Source organism: Homo sapiens, chromosome 14, assembly GCF_000001405.40.
Source record: "Homo sapiens chromosome 14, GRCh38.p14 Primary Assembly".
NCBI classification, from domain to species: Eukaryota; Metazoa; Chordata; class Mammalia; order Primates; family Hominidae; genus Homo; species Homo sapiens.
In genome coordinates, this window is record NC_000014.9 from 81060565 (window position 1) to 81081412 (window position 20848).

Below are 20848 nucleotides of genomic sequence, written 5' to 3' on the forward strand. Positions count from 1 at the left end.
ACTAATTTGGTCTTTCTGATGCTTTGATTAGGCAAGTTACAGATATATTTTAATAGTTGCAAAAATGAATACTTCAAAGAAAGCATAGACCAAGGAAATATATTGTTGAAAAGTAACCCCTCAGCTTAGAGAAGAAAAAATACACAATGTTATTCTACTATCTATAAATGAGGTACTAACTGGATGATGTGTGATTACCAGTGTGATTAAATGGCAAAAACAGACACATGGAGAAGCTAAGTAGTATGCTGAGGCATTGTCTTTTTGCCAAGTTAATACACTATGCACACTGTTTTCCATACAAGATTCTCAAGTAGTAACTATAGTAAAGAGCGTAACTCAAAAAATGGAGTGCCTAGGTGGAGAGGCATACTGGAATGCATGAAGGTGTTTCATTATGTATGATGAGAACAGTCTCCACCTTCTGAAGAGTCTTCAAAAAAGCAAACTGGAGGAAAAGTCACACCTTTAAGGTGCAAATCCAACAAAGATGTCTTAAGATTCTGAGGAAGAATTTGCTCCTTGCCAGTCAGTTATTTCCAGACTGCAGCATGTAGATGATAAGATCAAGATATGATCGAAGAGACTTTTACTTGTGCAAGAAGGTAGTAACCATGCTACTATTTTTAATCCTTAAGATTTAAAACATGCATTTAATTCTTTTAAAGATGTACTTAATGTATATTCTGATAGCATTCCAAGGCATTTCCATTGAAAAGTACATGCTATAAATTCAGTAGTCTTAACATACATAATACAATATATTATGTTGTTCGCACGAATGTTCATTGTAGCACTTTTCACAATAGCAAAAACATGGAATCAACCTAAATGTCCATCAGTGACAGATTGGATAAAGAAAATGTGGTACATATATACCATGGAATATTATGCAGTCGTAAAAAAGAACAAGATTATGTCCTTTTCAGGGACTTGGATGGAGCTGGAGGCCATTATCCTCCGCAAACTAACAGAGGAACAGAAAACAAAATACCACATGTTCTCACTTATAAGTGAGAGCTAAATGATGAGAACTCATGGACACAAAGAGAACAGACACTGGGGCCTGCTTGAAGGCAGAGGGTGGGAGGAGGGAAAGGAGCAGAAAAAAATAACTATTGGGTACTAGGCTTAGTACCTGAGTGATGAAATAATCAGTACAAAAAAAACCCTGACACCAGTTTACCTATATAACAAATCTGCACATGTACCCCCAAACCTAAATTAAAAGGTAAAATAATCATGTTTTTTCAATTTAATAAAAAGACCCCCCAAAAAATATTGCCCTTCAGTTAACAAATAAAGTGTGATGCGAGGCAAGACATATTAGTTTACTGCTAATTCATAGATGAAGTCTGATGATTTACTTTCTGCATCTGAATCTAACAATTCTTATTGGGAGAAAAAAATGTGTACATATGGTTCTTTGGTATGTTTGTTGAGTATTATTTTTGTTGATTATGTATCAGCCAACATATTGTGAAAACTGTCATGCTTTTTAATTATGTGTTTTTATAATTAAGGTGAATTATTAGAAAAGCCCAATGATTAAAACTCTAATTATGTAACTGTTATTTTCACAGGAAGCTTATTGAGACTCACCTGAGAACTATTCCAAGTCATGCATTTTCTAATCTGCCCAATATTTCCAGAATGTAAGTTTTTTTAATATAAAGAAAAGTTTGCATTTGTGATATGTTATTCTCTAAACGTGTTCTATCAAGAAAAATACTTGGTATTATACTTGCATAAATCAATGGCAGTTATATTGTCAATGTATATGACAATTTTATGTACATGATTTTTATTTCATTTTGCTATATCTCTACTCCCTAATTCCTACATGATTTTTTAAAACCTAAATCAAATTTAAATTCATTTGATTTTGAGCAGTTCATAATTCTCGATGTATTTTAATATATCTTGGGATATGGCAAAACCTTAGCTGTAAATCTCTCCTATAAACATCCCGTAGTTTATAAAGTAAACATATATACAGATAGACAAACATCCATCTGTCCTAGTCACCAAGTCTTGAATCACCTTTCACTACTAATACAAATATTTACATTTTGTTATAAACGTAGCCAGTGGTTTCAGATCTCTCACGTTAAAAGAGAATTAAAAATAATTCTAAACCTTAAAAATTGAATTGCTATCCACTTACAGTAAGGAGAAAAGGGATTTTCCATATTGGGTTGACAAAGAGTGAATGAAATGAAGCAGGTCTTTATTTCATTTAATTGATTTTGACAGGCAATCCAGATAGTTCAGGCATGCGAAATAATATAACCAGAAGCAACCTGTACAGTTTTTGGCCAAATGTACTCACTCCGTGGCCATTTTGTTAGTGTTTCTGTCATTTCAGTAGTTCTCAACCACAGACGACTCTACCCCTAGAAGCATTTAGCATTTTTGGTTGCTAAATGCCCACTAGAGAGGGGGCTGCTACTGGCACCTAGTGGGTAAAAGTGAAGGTTGCTGCCGAACATTCTACAGTTCATAGGACAGTCCCCACAACAGAATTATCTAGTCCAAAATGTCAGCAGTGCTGAGGCTGACAGACCATCCTACTGAACATCTCTGCAGTTTTTTATGTTGCTAACAAGTCCTTCCTCTTTCAAATTCTTGCCTCTTTGTTTTCCTTGATATTGCTCTCTCATTCCTCTTCTTGTCTCACCTGGCTACTCTTCCTTAGTCTCCTTTTCTGACTTCCTATTTTATTTTTGCCAGCTACTTAATTACCAGCTCTTTCTTTGTATATTTTGTTCTAATTCCTCTATACCCCACTCTCCTTGAGTAAACACTCCCATTCCTTGGGCTGCACTATTTCCTAATACAGCTAATTTCCAAATATTACCACTTGGATGTCCCACAGGCTCTTCAAAACCAGCATATCCAAAATAAACACATCATCTTCCTCCCAAGCTGTTCCTTCTCTTTTAACAGCACCACTGTAGCATCCTATAAGCTAAAAACCTTGAATTCTCCTTTAGCTCTTCCTTTTCCCTCATCTACCTTATACAACTGCCTATTTGGTGTCTCTGTTTGCATGTCCCAACAGCTTGGCCATTACTTCATTCATTCAACAGATATTTATTGAGCCCTACTTTGTGCCTGGCACTTTGCTAGGTGTTCCGTACACAGCAGTAGACAAAACTCACAGCAGTTCAGTTTTATTCCTAAGAGAGTGATGAGTATCATGATGGGGTCAGTTATTGGGTGATATGGAAACTCACATAAGAGGTCTATTACCTACACAGGAGCAGGGAGAGGAGTTGGGGAAGACTTCCTGAAAAAAAAAATAGCACCTGACCTGTGATCTGCATTATATAGCAAAGAGCAGAAGGGAAAAGCCTGGGCTTTCTGAAGAATTGAAATATAATAAGTTTCTTGGGGGTAGAGCTTAGGCAGGGAGGTGGGCAGTAGAAAAAAATAAAACTTAGGTCTAAGTTAGTACAGGGTCTTGTAAATCATGTGAAGGAGTTTAAAATCTTCCCTAAGGGCTGAGCCATTCAATGGTTTTAAGCAGGCAAGAGAAATGGTCAGATTTTCATTTGAGAAACATTCCCTTGGCTATGTAGTGGAGTGAGGGGTGGAAGTGGAGCAAGGCTGTAGGCAGGAAGCTAGTGAAGAGGCTGATGCAGTGCCCAAAGTACAGGGGATGGCAAATTGAAGGATGATCATTGAGTGGGAATAATGAAAAAGGATAGAGATTTGAGACATAAATAAGGGAGGGCTGATCAAGTTTCTGATTAGGACATCTGTGTGGTTGATCGGCACATTCATTTAGGCAGAGAAGTGTTTTGTATATTTGCTGTGGAGGGTCAGGGGGTATGTTAGGAATTCAATTTGGGGCATATGGCATTTGAGGTGCAGTTATATTGAGTACACATCAGGACACAGACAGAATTTTTTCATTCATTTGATAAATATTTGTTCAGCCCCTACTATGTGCCAATCACTGCTCTGAGAGCTGGGGATACATCAGGGAACAAACAGACAAAGATCCATGTCCCCATGGAGTTTCCATTTGAATGGGAGGAAATAGACAATGAACCAAAAACACAATAAATAAGTAAATTAGATACTAATTTAGAAGGAAATAAGTACATGGGAAAAAAAGTAAATTAGAGTAAAGAGGATTGGGAGTTCTGGGTATATGGGGGCACTCAGGGGAGAGATTCAGGTAGAGATTGAGAGTCACAAACAACTGGGTGTAACTGGGACCAGGAGGAGGCATCCGCAGAGAGGGAGAAGCTAAAGAGAGTGAAGAAAGAACAATTTTAAGAGCATGTGGTCCCTGAAGAGGCAGGAGGGGATGAGATCCAAATAGAGGGATTGGCCTTCTAGAGGAAGATGGTCACTTTTTACATCATAACGAGGAAGTCATGTTGTAGGACTTTCTCCTTAGTTCAGCTAAAAGCCAGGTTCTTGTCACATGGCCATAAAAGATTAGGCTCACAGACACTTTGAAGGGTGACAAAAATAGAATTTATTGGGTGAAAGAGGAAAAGAGGGAAACAGGGACTCTCAGCAAAGCGAGAGTCCTCCTAGTCCACTTCCCGCCTCACAGATTGAATCCCAGGTACCACCCCACAACAGGAGAGGCCAGGCTCCTCCCCACTATAAATGAACTTCCCGAAGCTCCACCCCAGTACACACTTCTCCCAGGGCACAGGCAGTTGAAGGTTCTGCTAGGGAGCCCTTTTTTACTTAGCTGTCTCAGTTGTAGGAAAAGATGGGACAGATGCAGGTAAACTAATAGGCTTATTGGTGGGGAATTCAAGGCATTCTCGTGTTAAAGTTTCAAACATTTCTATGACTTATCAAATTATTAAAGGATATCTAAGAAGATGGAAGATGGAGGTGGCAGAGTTAGAAATTTGATGAGAAGATTTGAAATAAAAGTGGTGAGCAATAAGAAGAGGGTTGGTTGACTGAGATATAGGAGACACCCAGGCAGATCTGAAGGCTCCACTGAGGCTTCCCCCAGGGAGACTGCTGGATTCTCCAGTCTGGGTTAAGTGATAGGGGTCCCTGAACCCTATCAAGCATTTAACACCTTGTGTTAATCCCATTTACCTTGTACATTAATCTGTATCTGTGAGTACTGTGAGTTCCTTGAAGGTAGGGAACAGGCCTGTTTTGTCATTGTCCAGAAGGATGTCTGTCATACAATGAATGTTCAATACATATTTGTGGAATAAAAGCACATACACATACCTGAATAATGATTAAAGATTTGATATATCTTGGGGAGAAGAAAGAGATCAGTAGGATGATGCTAGGTTTGTCTGAGATGGTTCAAATTCCCACTTGGGATTCTGGCATAATTGTTAATGGCACCTTGCTTTAACTCACAAAACTATCCCAGTTTGAATGATAAGTCATATGGTGACTGTAATGATTATATGATGTTTAAATGCGAAGAAGAAGTAGGATCTGATTTTTCCTAGTTGTAAAAATGGGGTAAGTAAGCAGGGAATCACAATTTTTATCCCCCTGAATAAACGATTCCTGCCAGTTGTCTTCACAACCAAGCAATCACAGCCATACAAAAAGATGTCATTAGGTTGGAGAAACTGGAACTTCCATTTGATAATATGGGCCGAGTGACTATCCTTCTGGAACCTTGAGAAAGACTCATACTTCTTAACTGAGAAATTCAGTAGAAGATTTGGAGCAATGGAAAAGATGCTTAGGGAAACAAGTTGGCAGCCTTGAAAAATGAATCTTGCTCTGCTAGCTTGCTCAGCTTCATCCATGGTAAATCCCCACAGTCTCTACACGGTAAATTAATTCCTTTCAATCTGTTCCATTGTTTCCTTTATGTTAGAAATATATTTGTATCAAAACAATTTATATAACGTTATTATCTGCAAGAGGCAAAGGGTTAAGAGACTGGGTAAATCAAAGGATAATTATTTAGAGAACAGGTAATTCAAAATAGAAAGCACAGAGCCATTATAATACTCATAATAACCAAGATAAAAACTTAGAATGGAACAATCAGCACTCCTCTTGTAAACATTGCATCGATGAGGATACTTTACTGGCAGATTCAATTCAAACTATAGGTCAGTGGTTCTCAACATTGCCTACACATTAGAATTGGCTAAGAAGCTTTTGAAAAATAAAAGTACTTGACTCATCCCTCATAAACTCTGATTTAATTATCCTAGACCGGGTCTTGGACATCTGTGTACTTTAAAGCCCTTCAGGTAGTTTAATTGCATGTCCAGGGTTGAGAATCTCTGCTATGGCTATGGCTGGAAACCATCTGTCAATTGTTCATTTTCCCAAATGTCATAGAAATACCTCACAATAGAAAGTGGTCATTGAATTTGGCTGCATTAGTCATTCTCATTACAAGATGGAATTTGAGGAAACTATTTGAAATATTCCTTATATGTTCTTGACAAGTTGTATTTAGGAATTTCTCTGTTTTCCTTTTTCAGTACTTGAAGCTTTTATTTGAATTACTTTTTGCTTACAAAGTTTAAGACGGAGCTTGAATTTTCAGCTTCATTTAAAATCATGAAGAGAAGTCTTAAGGGAGTATGTCGTCAACCTGTGGAATGTTCCACTAGAGAATTGCGATTTTCTCTTCATCTTTGAAACTACATGTCTAATTCCATGTTATTAGACATTCCATTAAAAATGCTTCTTATTGACTCTAGTGTTCTTTTCTGATGCTCATGTTTTTTTGCTATTTTGAGGAACTCTTCTATTCATTCAGTTGTTTAATAAGAGTCGACAACATGCCAAGCACTCTGAAAGGCACTCAAGATTCAGTGGCCAAAAACAGGCACAGTTCTGCATTTCAGAGAACTTACAGTCTAGTGAGACAACAGAAATATCACCCAAAGAACTGGAAATTTGCACTCTGATAATTAGTGAAAGGAGTTTATAGTTTTATATATATATATATATATATAGTGATATATCACTATATATAATCCCTATATATACACCATATATACATATGTATGGCAGGTTCAATTCAAACTATAGGTCAGTGGTTCTCAACATTGCCTACACATTAGAATCAGCTAAGAAGCTTTTGAAAAATAAAAGTATTTGACTCATCCTTCATAAACTCTGATTTAATTATCCTAGACCAGGTCTTGGACATCTGTGTATTTTAAAGGAAATAGAAGAGTTCCTTTAAAATGGAAGAGTTCCTCAAAATAGCAAAAATAAAATAAAATAAAATAAAAGCAAGCATCAGAAAAGAACACTAGAGTGAATAAGAAGCATTTTTAATGGAATGTCTAGTAACACGGAATTAGACACGTAGTTTCAAAGAAGATGAAGAGAAAACCTCAATTCTGTAGTGGAACATTCCACAGGGTGACACTATATATATATATATATATATATATATCGCTAAATATGCATATGGGAAATTTTAATCAGGGAGTTTGGGGAAAGTTTCTGAAGGAAGTGACAGTTAAATGATAATTTCAGATAAATAGGAGTTAATATACAGGAGGAATTCAGGTATCACAAGATCTGAAAAAAAAAGTAGTAAGTAATTTTAACATAATTTGGCAGAATCCATGAGGGTTGTACATGTTGCATGATCTGGGAAGCGCATAACAAAAAGTTATGTCAAAAATAGTATGTTTGAAGTTTACAACCTTACTAACTTTCTACTTTGTCTTATATTTTTCTGACATTCAGCTACGTATCTATAGATGTGACTCTGCAGCAGCTGGAATCACACTCCTTCTACAATTTGAGTAAAGTGACTCACATGTAAGTACAAGGAAAAGTGCAGCATAGACCTAAGCCACAACCACTCTTGACTGATAATCTTGGGGCTCCAGATGGCAATGGGAGCTGGTTTCTTGATTGTGAGTCAAAACTTCTGTTTATGATTAAATTATTAACCTGTTCTCATTCTCAGTTCATGTTAATTCATCTTCATTACACCTCAATTCCATGGTTGGAAGTTAAAGACAACATTAAAAGTTCTGTTCTTGAACCACTATCTGTTCTATTACTACTGTGTCAGCATATTTTATTGATGTGAATGTCAGTGAGACAATAGGTATTTACTGAGTAACTACTTGATTCTATGGTCTGTGCAAGATTCTACAAAGCTGGCATATTTTCCTTAATTCGGAAAGAGAAGAGTTGCTTGGTGAGATTAGAATAGTAGGGAATTTAATAACCCTAGTTCTGGAGTTGGTCAGAGTTGGATTTGAACACCGGCATCTCTGCCTACTCATTATCTACCCTTGGACAAGTCACATAATCTTTCCTAGTCTCATTTGCAAAATAAGTGTAATAAGAGCTGCAACTTCATGTTTATCATAAATATGGAATTATATAATATCTAGCACCTGAAAACCAGTCAATATACCATTCAAAAATAGAATAATTTTTCTATTTCGCTAGTAGATTACAATCTATAAAAAGTGTTACATAAATAATCACATTGCATTATTTTAAGTAGCTATGTATTACTAATCATGAACTCTATTTTCTTGATGAAGAAACAAAAATACTTATCTACAAATACTTAGTATATCCTAACATTACATTAAACATTGTATGAACATTATTTGTTTGGTTATTATTTACCTCTTAAAACAACCCTGTGAAGTAAATACAATTATTTCCATTATTTATATAAGAAAAACATAAATGCAGAGAGACTAAATATGTTTTCCTTGGTCGCACAGTTACCAAGGGACAGGGCCACAATCTTTATACCATAAATGTATGACTTAAAAATTCTTCCCTATCCACTACATTAAGATGCTTTCAAGAATACTGAGGTCCAAGATATTGCTTACAAGTATGGTAGGCTACCTTACATCAGATCAACTATTGGTCTGAGAATAACTTAAGGAGCTGAATTTTTAAAAAAATGTTTGAAAGTATTAGAGTGTTATGAAGACAGTAAGAACTCAATGGGCAATAAGCAAATCCCAAAAACATCATTTGGTTATTTTCCCTTGAGGTATTTCCTGAATTGTAAGCAAAAGCTTAAGGGCTAAGAAACTGACCAGAGGTTTAGGCATCTATTAGGGCTAGGAAAATAAAACTCTGAGTTCCGGGCTTGCTAAGAAGGATTGTTCCTAGTAAACAATCCAGGATTTTGGTTGAGATCACTAAAGAGCTTCATCCTAGAAGTATGGGAAAACTGTGACTAGATCAGCCCTTGCAAAGACTAAAGCCTAGCTTTGAATCAATAAAAAATAACTCGAGTTTGTGGGGCAAAAAAATCAAGAGAAGAAAATAGACAATAGAAAATGATCCATAGGAAGTTCAAATATTGGTTATCAGACACAGACTTTAAAATAACTAACATGTTCAAAAATTTAAATGGCAAGAGAAAATTTCAGAATAAAACTGAAAATGATAAGAAGGATCAGTTGTAAACTCTAGAATCTAAAAAGTCAATAAAACATCTAAATACATGAGTTTCACAAGAGATTAGGCATAGCTCAAAGGAGAATTAGTAATCTGGAAGATAGGTCAGAAGACTATAATCAGTCTGAAGCATGGAGAGAAAGAGAAAATAAGAAATATATAGCACAATAAAAAATCTAGCATACCTATGACTAGATCCCAAGAAAAGAGAGAAAGAATGAGAAAAGCAATATTTGAAAGCAACTTTCCAAAACTCTTAAGAGACATCAAGTCACGTATGTTAGAAGTACTGCAAACCCCGAAAGGATAAATACGAAGAAAGCTACATCGAGGCACATCATAGTAAAATTGCTAAAAACCAAAGACGAAAAGAAAATTATAAAAGCCAGCAAGGCTGGGCGCGCTGGCTCATGCCTGTAATCCCAGCATTTTAGGGGGCCAAGGCAGGCGGATCACGAGGTTAGGAGATTGAGACCATCCAGGCCAACATGGTGAAACCTTGTCTCTACTAAAAACACAAAAATTTGCCGGGCATGGTGGTGTGTCCCTGTAATCCCAGCTACTCGGGAGGCTGAGGCAGGGAATCACTTGAACCTGGGCGGGAGAGGTTGCAGTGAGCTGAGATTGTGCCACTACACTCCAGCCTGGGCAACAGAGTAAGATTCCATCTCAAAAAAAAAAAAAAAAAAAAAAAAAAGCAGCAAGGAAATAATAAATAATACTTTCAAGGATGTAACAAGACTGACAGCTGACTTTTCAACAGAAATCATGGAACTTATAAAACAACAGAAAGATATTTGTGAACAGCAAAACAGCAAATATCTGCCAACCCAACCAAAAGATTATTTAAAATTAGAAAAAGATAGATACTTCAAGCAAACAAAAATTGAGAGAATTTATTACCATTAGGCTCATATTAAAGGAACTACTAATGGGAATTACTAAGACAAAAGGAAAGCCATCCCACATGCTAAGACATTTCTGTGCAGGAAGAAATGAAAAGCAACAGAAAAGGTCAATATATGGGTAAATATAAATGAACCTTGACTGCACAAAATGAAATAATGTCTTAGGGGATTTAAAATACTGTTCTTTGCTCTGCATGATAGTGTGGGATCATAAAATTGTGCAGACTGAAACTGTATTAAGCAGTCTTAATAATCAATAAGAAAAATTGTGTTGTGATTTCTAAAAGCTTTTATGAAAACATTAAAATTTCTCAGTCAGTTATAAATGGAAAGAAAAAATAATAAAACTAATATTTCACATACTGTAATTGTCAACATTAGAAATACTTAGAAGTAAAATGCTTTATTGCTTTGTAAAAGCTTAGCAAGAGTAGCTTAGACAGTGCTTGACCTTTTATCTTTATTATATAAGTTACAATAGAATATCTTTTCAATACCCTGGCAAATTGTCATACTTCTTTCTAAGTCTAGATTAGCTTCCATCATTTTATCCTTTGCTTTTTAAATATTATAAAATATTTTCAAGTGTTTCTTTAATGTAAAATTTTTTTACCGTCATTGTTTCTTTTGGGACATCTTCATCCTTTGCATCCATTTTTCTCCCATCACTAAGTTCCTCTGATTAATATCTAGAGTTTCTCAGCCAGCCTGGACAACATAGTGAGATCTTGTCTCTACCAAAAAAAAAATTAGCTGAGCATGGTAGTGCAAACCAGTGGTCCCAGCTACATGGGAGGCTGAGGTGAGAGGATTAATTAAGCCCAGGCATTCCAGGCTGCAGTGAGCTATGATCACACCACTGCATTCCAGCTTGGATGACAGAGAAAGAGCTGGTCTCTAAAATAAATAAATAAATAAATAAATAGTCTCAGATGGTGGTGGTATCAACATTTTCATGCCAGTGATTTATTCTATAACTCCATTTACATTTTGTTTGAATTTCCCTTTCAGTAATATTACATTTCATTTCTTGGCTTCATTTTCATCTTTATTGGTAAATTCACTCTTTCAATTAGCCATTTTTAGGAAATGTCATATGAGGTGATTACTGGGAAACACATAGGAAACACAATGACATGCTTTATTGTTTGTGAATGAACTGAGCAAGAGATGCCCAGTGAGCAACCATCAATGACTTTGAAGAGTGATGTAGTTGGTCACCTATTATAATGTGCATCTGTTATTTACATAGTGATTTGTGGACTGAAGAGCTAGCAACAAAGTTTGTACTTTATTCAATGATTAATAGTTAATATACTATGGTAACTGAAACTTGAGGGATGTGTTGAGGACAGTTATTATTTACATTTGATTAAATCATGGTAACTGAACTTCATGTGTATTGGAGCCATTCAAAGTAGAACTGCTTGTATGCATAGAATTAAAATATGCAGTAGCTTTTTAAAAAAAGTATAGGACATTATAAATAATGTGAAAGTGTTCTAAAGGTCTTTGAATTATCTGAGAAGTGGTAAAAGTACTAACTGAAATTAAACTTTAATAAATCATAAATAAATGTTTTAACTCACAGGGCAGCTACTAAAATGCTTGTAGAAGACTGGATAACTAACAGGCTAATAGTAGTGGGGAATGGAATGAAATTAATTAATTAATACAAAAAAGCGAGAAATTGGAAGAAATAGAGAGTTTCTGGAATAAATAGTAGATTTAACTCCAAATAATCAGCATTTACATTAACTGCATTAAATGTAAAAGGACTAAATACTCTAAGTAAAATACAAAGATTGATTGCTGAATTTTTAATACTCGCTGTATGCTGCTTACAAGAGACATTTTAAACATTATACAGAAAGGTTGAAAGTGAAAAGCTTTGGGAGGCCGAGGCGGGCGGATCACGAGGTCAGGAGATCGAGACCATCCCGGCTAAAACGGTGAAACCCCGTCTCTACTAAAAATACAAAAAATTAGCCGGGCGTAGTGGCGGGCGCCTGTAGTCCCAGCTACTCGGGAGGCTGAGGCAGGAGAATGGCGTGAACCCGGGAGGCGGAGCTTGCAGTGAGCCGAGATCCCGCCACTGCACTCCAGCCTGGGCGACAGAGCGAGACTCCGTCTCAAAAAAAAAAAAAAATAAAAAATAAATATATATATATATATATATATATATATAAAATGCACACAGTAACTAAAAGAAAACTGATGTAAATATGCATACATATAAAGCATAAAGTCTTACTCTAAGGGACACTTCATAAAGATTAAAGGAATTACTATATAAGATATAGTGATTCTAAATTTAATGTCTATAAGAGCATAGCTTCAAACCATATAAAGCAGAAATTGGTAGAACTAAAAAGATAAACAATAATTGGCAATCATACTGAGAGCTTATTTTAATATAGTTTTATCAATAATTGATAGAACAAGCATACCAAAATAGTAAATATACTGATAAAAAGTTAATAAAAAGATTTGAACATAATTTACAAACTTGATCATATTGGCTTATAAAAAATATTGTATCCAACAACTGCAGAGTATATATTCTTTTCAAAGACACATGGAACATTTACTAAAATTGACCACATGTGGGGCCATAAAAGCAAGTCTCAATAGATTACCAAAAAAATTAAAATCACCATGTTCTCTAACTAGTAAATAACCTAACTTCTAAATAACTCTGATTTCTAATTAACCATAGGATTAAGGAAGAAATCATAATAAACATTAGAAAATAATTTTAACTAAATGATAATAAAAATATGACATATCAAAACCTGTGGGATGTAGTCAAAGTCATACTTAGAAGAAAACATATAGCCTTAAGACAACATATATTAGAAAAGAAGGTTAAAAATAAATCATTTATGTATCCTTCATAAGAAGTTTATATAATAGAGCAGTACATTAAAACCAAAGAAAGTAAAATAACACTGAGGCCCAGGAAGGCTGAGGATCCAGTACAGTAAAGACAACAACAGTCTTCAAAATTGAAAACCAAATCTTCTGACTCCAAATCTCATATCCATTTATCAAACCATTTTGCTTCTTTGCCCCTTCACCAAAAATAAAAGCAATTAATTTGTAGTGAAGTCCTATATAAACCCCATTGATCTTAAAAGCAGTCATTTTGTTTGTATTATGATCTTTTTCCTCACAAAGATTCCAGTTGTTATTTATAAGTTTTTTTAAGTAAACATTCAATTCTCTACTCTGAGCAAAAGTGTTAACTTCCTAAACCGAAGGAAACTATTAAATACAGTAATTAAAAAGAGAATGAGTTTAAAAATAAATTATTAAAAGATAATTTGCTTATATACTTGAGATATTGAGAGTCTAATATCTTAAAGATTTAAAGGATAATGCACCTTGTATTCTTCAAATGTTTCTAATATGTATCTGACATTATTGTCTGCAAATGGTTTTGGTCAGCAGAAAAGATTAGTGAAGATTTTTGCATGCATGCCACCCAAATGTTTAATACATTTGTTTTATAATCATTTATTAAGCAGCGACTATAATCAAAGCATTATAACTTGCATGAGAAATATAGAGCTGAAAGATCACTCATCTTTGCTCAAGGAATTGAGAATGGTTTTGTGGGTATAAGGCATGAAACTGAGTATCGATATAGAATGATTTGTTTAATTTATATACCATATAAGTACCATCAACCAAACGTTCCTGGGATTCCTCAGTATAGAATTAAAGCCCTCTGATTTGTTTAGGAAAGAGAGCTCTTTATTGTGTTGGATTTGCTGCAAGGATAGATATGTAGATACTAAACTTATGAATACACATTTCAAATGCCAATGCATATTGCCAGCATTTATTGAAAAGCTCCAATGAGGACTACAGCAGTAAAATAACATAATGTTATTCCATTTCATAAGTGTGTTTTCTTTCTAAGCTGCCCTTCAAAACTGACTTTTTTTGGTCCTGTGATTTGGTAAATAGAAAGATGAGCAGTTAGTTTACCATTGCCACTTCTAATTATCCCTGCCAGTACCTGTCCAGTCTTACAGAGCTCTATATACATTCTCTGAGATGGCTTCCCAATTCATGTTTAGATTTTGTTCTGTGATATGAATTAGAGTATTAGAACATAAGCACTCTTTAGCCTAAAGCTGCCTCCTTGTAAATTTGGCCTAAAGGCCTCTCTGTATGCAGTGAACTATAACCTAACTGGATATGTGAACAGACCACAGACCATAATTTACTTTTTTACCAATCACCGAGTTTCAGCCAGTCACAGGCGACCAATTGTTCAAACAGTGTTCAAATAAGGCAAAAGCTAAGCTATAACCAATCTAGCTGCTTCTATACCTCACTTCTGTTTTCTGTATATCACCTTGTTTGCATCCCTCCCAGCTCCAGAAATTCTCTATCACACAGCAGCACCAAAGTCTCTCTGAACCTATTCTGGTTAGGGGGCTGCCCAATTAATGAATTATTCTTTGCTCAATTAAACTGTTAAATTTATGTAACATTTTCATCTTAACAGTACTGACATTGGGTCTGTGACCTAGAATTGTCATTCCCAAAACAAAAAGCTATTCATTCAATAAATACAGTATGTTTAACACAGTTAAACCTGTGACCATGGCATCTTTTTTTTTCTTTTATTATTATACTTTAAGTTTTAGGGTACATGTGCACATTGTGCAGGTTAGTTACATATGTATACATGTGCCATGCTGGTGTGCTGCACCCACTAACTCGTCATCTAGCATTAGGTATATCTCCCAATGCTATCCCTCCCCCCTCCCCCCACCCCACAATGTGGAGAAATAGGAACACTTTTACACTGTTGGTGGGACTGTAAACTAGTTCAACCATTGTGGAAGTCAGTGTGGCGATTCCTCAGGGATCTAGAACTAGAAATACCATTTGACCCAGCCATCCCATTACTGAGTATATACCCAAAGGACTATAAATCATGCTGCTATAAAGACACATGCACACGTATGTTTATTGTGACATTATTCACAATAGCAAAGACTTGGAACCAACCCAAATGTCCAACAATGATAGACTGGATTAAGAAAATGTGGCACATATACACCATGGGATACTATGCAGCCATAAAAAATGATGAGTTCATGTCCTTTGTAGGGACATGGATGAAATTGGAAATCATCATTCTCAGTAAACTATCGCAAGAACAAAAAACCAAACACCGCATATTCTCACTCATAGGTGGGAATTGAACAAGGAGATCACATGGACACAGGAAGGGGAACATCACACTCTGAAGACCATTGCATCTTAAAAGGCTATATGCAAGATTCAAAATAGTAGATCATTCTGTTCTTATTCATACCTCTTCCCTTGGCCTCTGTGATATCACAATCCTGGTTGGACTCCTATCATGCTGGTCAGTCTTTCCTATCATCTTTTGCTGGCTGCTTCCCCTTCCCCAGCTATAATTATTGGGCTTTCATATGGCCCAATCCTGTGTAGTCTTCTCTTTTCACTCTAACTTCTCCTGCTATGTGATCTTATCTAACAATTCCCAAATTTATATATCTAGTTCAGGCCCTCATTCTTAGTGTTGGTATATACCTATTGGTCTACTTGACCTCTCTTCCCAGACATCTTACACATATCTCACGTTTTATATCCAAAACTGACATCTTGATTGTCGTCCTGAAATCTACTACTCCTGTGTATGTTGAGCCAATAAATGCCAACTTCCTTCATCCTGATGCAAATCCCAAATACCTGAGATGTATCACTATACCTTCTTTCCTCATCACCCACTTCTACTCCTTCACCATGTCCTGTTGATTCTACTACCCTAATATACAGAAAATGTATCCTCTTCCTCTCCACTGCCACCACCCTTATTTAAGCCACCATCATCTCTTGTTTGAACTATGATAATTTTATATCTTAACTGGTATTCCCAATTGATTTCCTCTAATTCAGTATCTTCACAGCAGCCAGAATGATTTTTCTTGAATAAAATCCAAGTATCTTAACATAAACAGCCAGGCCCACAAGTTCAGCTGGTTCCTGCCCACCTCTGCGTTCTCATCATGCTTCACTCCTGCACACCTGTGTTCTTTGGTTTTTTGAACAGTCCAATATCTTTCTCACCTCAGGGTATTCACATGCTTTTGCCTCTGCCTAGACATTTATTTCTCTCTCTCTCTCTCTTTGCCTAGTTAACTCTACTGATTATTTTTTCAGCCTAATTATGACCTACACAGAGACACATACCATTCAGCCCACTTCTGCATCTAAGTTAGATCCCCATTTGAATCTATCCTTGAATGCTTTTTGGTTTAGAACTTACTAAAATTTAGTATGACAATGCAGATGTTTGATAATAATAGGTCTCTGGAAGGCAGGATGCTTTGTGTGCCATTCACTTACACCAAGCTGTGAGGAAATCAAACTAAAACAAAAAATGAAACAATGTATTCTGAACATGCATTTTAAAAATAATGGATTGGAAGAGTAGGCTAGTCTGAATTCATGAAAAATCTGATTGACAGAATGTTTAGTATATGTGTGTACACACACATATTCATACATATATGTTTAGCCAACCTTAATTGAGCATTTACCATATCCCAAGCACTACACTAATTGCTCAACACATATATACTCATTTAATCCTCACGACAATTCTCTAAAGTAGTTACTATCATTTTACAGCCAAAGCAACTGAGATTCAATAACTACATCTTTATATTTAAAATGCATTTCATGTAAACATCACAGAATTGGATCTTGCTTTTATATCCAGCCTGAAAATCTCAGCCTTTTAGTTGGAGTGTTTAATCCATGACATTTATTGTAATTATTGATATGGTTGGATTTCAGTCTACCATTTTCCTATTTGCTTTGTCTTCTCTGTTCTTTGTTCCTTTATTTCTCCTTGTCTTCTTTTGGATTAATCTAGTTGTTTTTGCTTTTGTTTATTAGTGTTCTATTCCATTGGCTTTTTAGTCCTTTGCAAATTTTTTGTGATTACTCAAGAAATTATGACATGCATCCTTAACTTATCACAGTCTACTTAGAAATAATATTATGTTACTCCACATATCATGTAAGAACCTTTTGAAATTAAAATTCCATTTACCTTCTTCCATCTTTCATGCTATTGTTGTCATATATTTTATTCCTATATATGTTATAAACCTCATAATACATTATTATGTTAACTTTAAAGATTCAATTAACTTTTACATAATTTGAGTAAAGAAAAAAATAGTCATTTATATACGTTCAACATATTTAATATTTCCAGTGTCCATGCCCTTCTGTAGGTCCAATTATTTCCCTTTAGCCCAAAAAACTTTTAGTATTTCACTGTGGTTCTACTGGCAGCAAATTTTCTGAGGTTTTATTTACTGAAAATATATTTTACCTTAATATTTGAAAAACACTTTTGCTGAGTATAGAATTGTAGCAAAGCCATTTTTGTTTCAGCCTTTTGAAAATATCCTTCAATGTCTTCTGGCCTTCTTTTTTTCTGAGGAGTAGTCGTATCCGTGTTATTATTCTCCTGTAAGTAATGTGTTTTTTCCCCTCTGGTTACTTGTAAAACTTTTTCTATATCTTTGCTTTTCAACTGTTTAATCATAATATGCCTAGGTGAGTTTTTTTATATTTAATCTGCTTAAGGTTTGCCGAACTTCGTGGATTTATGGGTTGCTGGTTTTGTTAAATTTGGACATTTTTGTCTACTATTTCAATAGAGTATGTTAGAAGTGATACAATGCCAGTTCTAGTCCCAGTCTTTAAAAGAACTGGCAGCTTTTACTTTATATCCTTGGAACCCTGAACAACCATGTAAGACGTCCAACTGCACTGATGGAGAGACCGTGTGGGAAGATCCTGAGATCCTGGGATGGAGAAAAGCCTAGCTGAGCCTAACCTTCTAGCAATTCCCATCAAAAAGCCAGGCATGTAAGCACACCCTTTTGGACCCTCCAAATTGTTCCAGACACCAGCTGAATAACACCCAGTGATCCTGGTGGAGGCTACAGAGAGCAGAAAATCACCCAGCTCAGCACTGTCTGGCATCCTGATCCACAAAATTGTGAGCTATAATAAAATGTTATTTTAACCACTTAATCTGGGGTAATTTGTTATGCAACAATAGGTAGCCAGAGGAAGTAGCAATTATATGTCAGTTAACAATGGGTAAAGGCATTGAGGATTTGTAAGAAAAAAATACAAGAATGGTAGGTTCTCTGTGAGTTATTCAGGATCCTAAGTGGATACAAATCATTTCCCCTGGGTAGTAACTTCAGCGAGGATACTGTTTGGACCGAAAAGTATGCATGTAATAAAGATTTATATCTGCAAAATGATGAAACACTGGACACTTCCATTTTCTATTGTACTTTCTCTATAAGAAAGTCAATAACATACAGATTGCTGCTGTTGTTACTCCTAATAATAATAGTGACCAAGTTCTGAATGCCTTTTGTGGGCCAGCACTCCACTAAAAGTACTTCACATACACTATCTCACTAGTTTTTACCAAGCGTTAGTTTCTGCTATGTCAAATGAAGATGGTAATACATACCTTGCAGAGCTCTTGCCAAAGTTTTCTTAGCTAAGACATTTCAAAGTGAGAATTTGAACCCAAAAGTGTCTGCCTCCAAAACCACTGCAATGCCATAAAATCTCTTTAATTAAAATATCTGCAATAATTAAAGAAAATGCTGGCCAGGCGTGGTGGCCCACACCTATAATCCCAGCATTTTGGGAGACTGAGGCAGAAGGATGGCTTGAGCCCAGGAGTTTGAGACCAGCCTGGGCGGCAGAGTGAGACATCATCTCTATGAAAAATATTTTTTAAAATTAGCTGGGCACAATGGCACTTGCCTATAGTCCCAGCTTCTCAGGAAGTTGAGGCGGGAGGATCACTTGAGCCTACAAGGTTGAGGCTGTAGTGAGTCATGATCGTGCTACACACTCCAGCCTGGGCAACAGAATGAGACCCCTAGCTCAAAAGAAAAAAAAAAAAAAAAGCAAAGAAAAAGAAGTGCTGCCCTCAGAAGAATGTTTTTACTTTTATGTGAGTTTTTGGGTTTTGTTTGTTTGTTTGTTTGTTTGTTTGTTTTTGAGACGGAGTCTTGCTCTGTCGCCCAGGCTGGAGTGCAGTGGTGCAATCTCAGCTCACTGCAACCTCCGCCTCCTGGGTTCAAGGGATTCTCCTGCCTCAGACTCCCAAGTAGCTAGGACTACAGGCGTGTGCCACCATGCCCAGCTAATTTTTTGTATTTTTAGTAGAGAAGGGGTTTCACCATGTTAGCCAGGATGGTCTCAATCTCTTGACCTCGTGATCCTCCTGCCTCAGCCTCCCAAAGTCCTGGGATTACAGGTGTGAGCCACCGCACCTGGCCTATGTGAGTTTTTTAAATCAAAAATAAGTGAAAAATTTTACAACTGGGATAGGTGAAATGTGTGACTTATGCCTTATAGTACAATAAGACTATATTTTGCTGATCCACTAAGTTGAATCAAGTGGATGCATCAGAGGTTTCAAAATCACCAGCTTTAGCACCAATCCTTAAATAATCATGAAAGTAGCTGTATGCACCTGCCAGGCAATTTAGAGAATCACTTCTATAATGTTCTATTTTTAGTGGAAAATCTGCTGATAAATTTAAATTTTCTTCAATGTGCTTTAAAAATCTGAATACTTATAAACTCTCCTCAATATCTCTTATTTTTAATTTCTCAATACATTAAAAGATACATCAAATCATGAATATTGCCTTTTGGTTATAGATTATTTCTTTCCTCCAGTTACATATGGAATGTTAATAATAATTCATTAATAATTATCAAAGAATTAAGACTTCTCTCATTGAAAATCCTCGATAATGTAGGAAATAATTTATTCTGTGAACTTTCATATTATAGATTAATATGAAAAGTAAGTGCTAGTCTAACAGTCAAGGCTTTAGAAACTAAGGTCTAATCTATACCAAGAGCTTTGACAGACTTTTAACTTTTGACCCAGTAATTCCACTTCTATAAATTTTCCCTAAGAAAATAGAGTAGTGAAAAAAAGTTAATGTAAAAAGCCATTTGTTTCGGAGTTAATTATTTATATTAGAGAGAATTTGGAAAGGACTTAAATGCTTAGCTAAGAGAATGGTCAAATATGAAATACTAAGCCAGGCGCAGAGGCACGAACCTTTAGTCACAGCTACTTGGAGACTGAGGTGGGAGGATTGGTTGAGGTCAGGGATTTGAGGCTGTAGTGCACTATGACCCTGCCTGTGAATAGCCACTGCACTCCAGCCTGGGCAGCATAGCATGACCCTGACTTATAAAGAGAAAATCTGTTGCTATAGACAATTTAATCACATAAGAAAAGCTTTTGTCATTATGTTATTTAAAATATATATGTATGTATGTATGTATATATATATACTTAACAGAACAAAATAGTTTTTCTCTGTATTATCAAATGATGAGAGTTTTTTTTTACATTTACCAGCTTATTATAAAGGATATTACAAAAGATAGAGATGAAGATTGCATAGAGTGAAGTA

At 35.7% G+C, this 20848-nt stretch overlaps 1 protein-coding gene and 1 long non-coding RNA gene across 7 annotated transcripts in view; one reads left to right on the forward strand and one right to left on the reverse strand.

Annotated features, from left to right (window-relative positions):
• The window catches only part of TSHR (thyroid stimulating hormone receptor), a 190686-nt gene that overhangs the window by 104944 nt on the left and 64894 nt on the right, over window positions 1-20848 (forward strand). For 3 of the 4 annotated variants that reach the window (NM_000369.5, NM_001142626.3, NM_001018036.3), the window contains exons 2-3: window positions 1584-1655; window positions 7690-7764. In NM_000369.5, the coding sequence (NP_000360.2) occupies window positions 1584-1655; window positions 7690-7764 (147 nt within the window). Of the gene's footprint in view, window positions 1-1583; window positions 1656-7689; window positions 7765-20848 lie in introns of those variants that run through there. The other variant, XM_011537119.3, reaches the window with a different exon arrangement.
• The window catches only part of TSHR-AS1 (TSHR antisense RNA 1), a 156341-nt gene that overhangs the window by 46499 nt on the left and 88994 nt on the right, over window positions 1-20848 (reverse strand). The window lies entirely within an intron of this gene.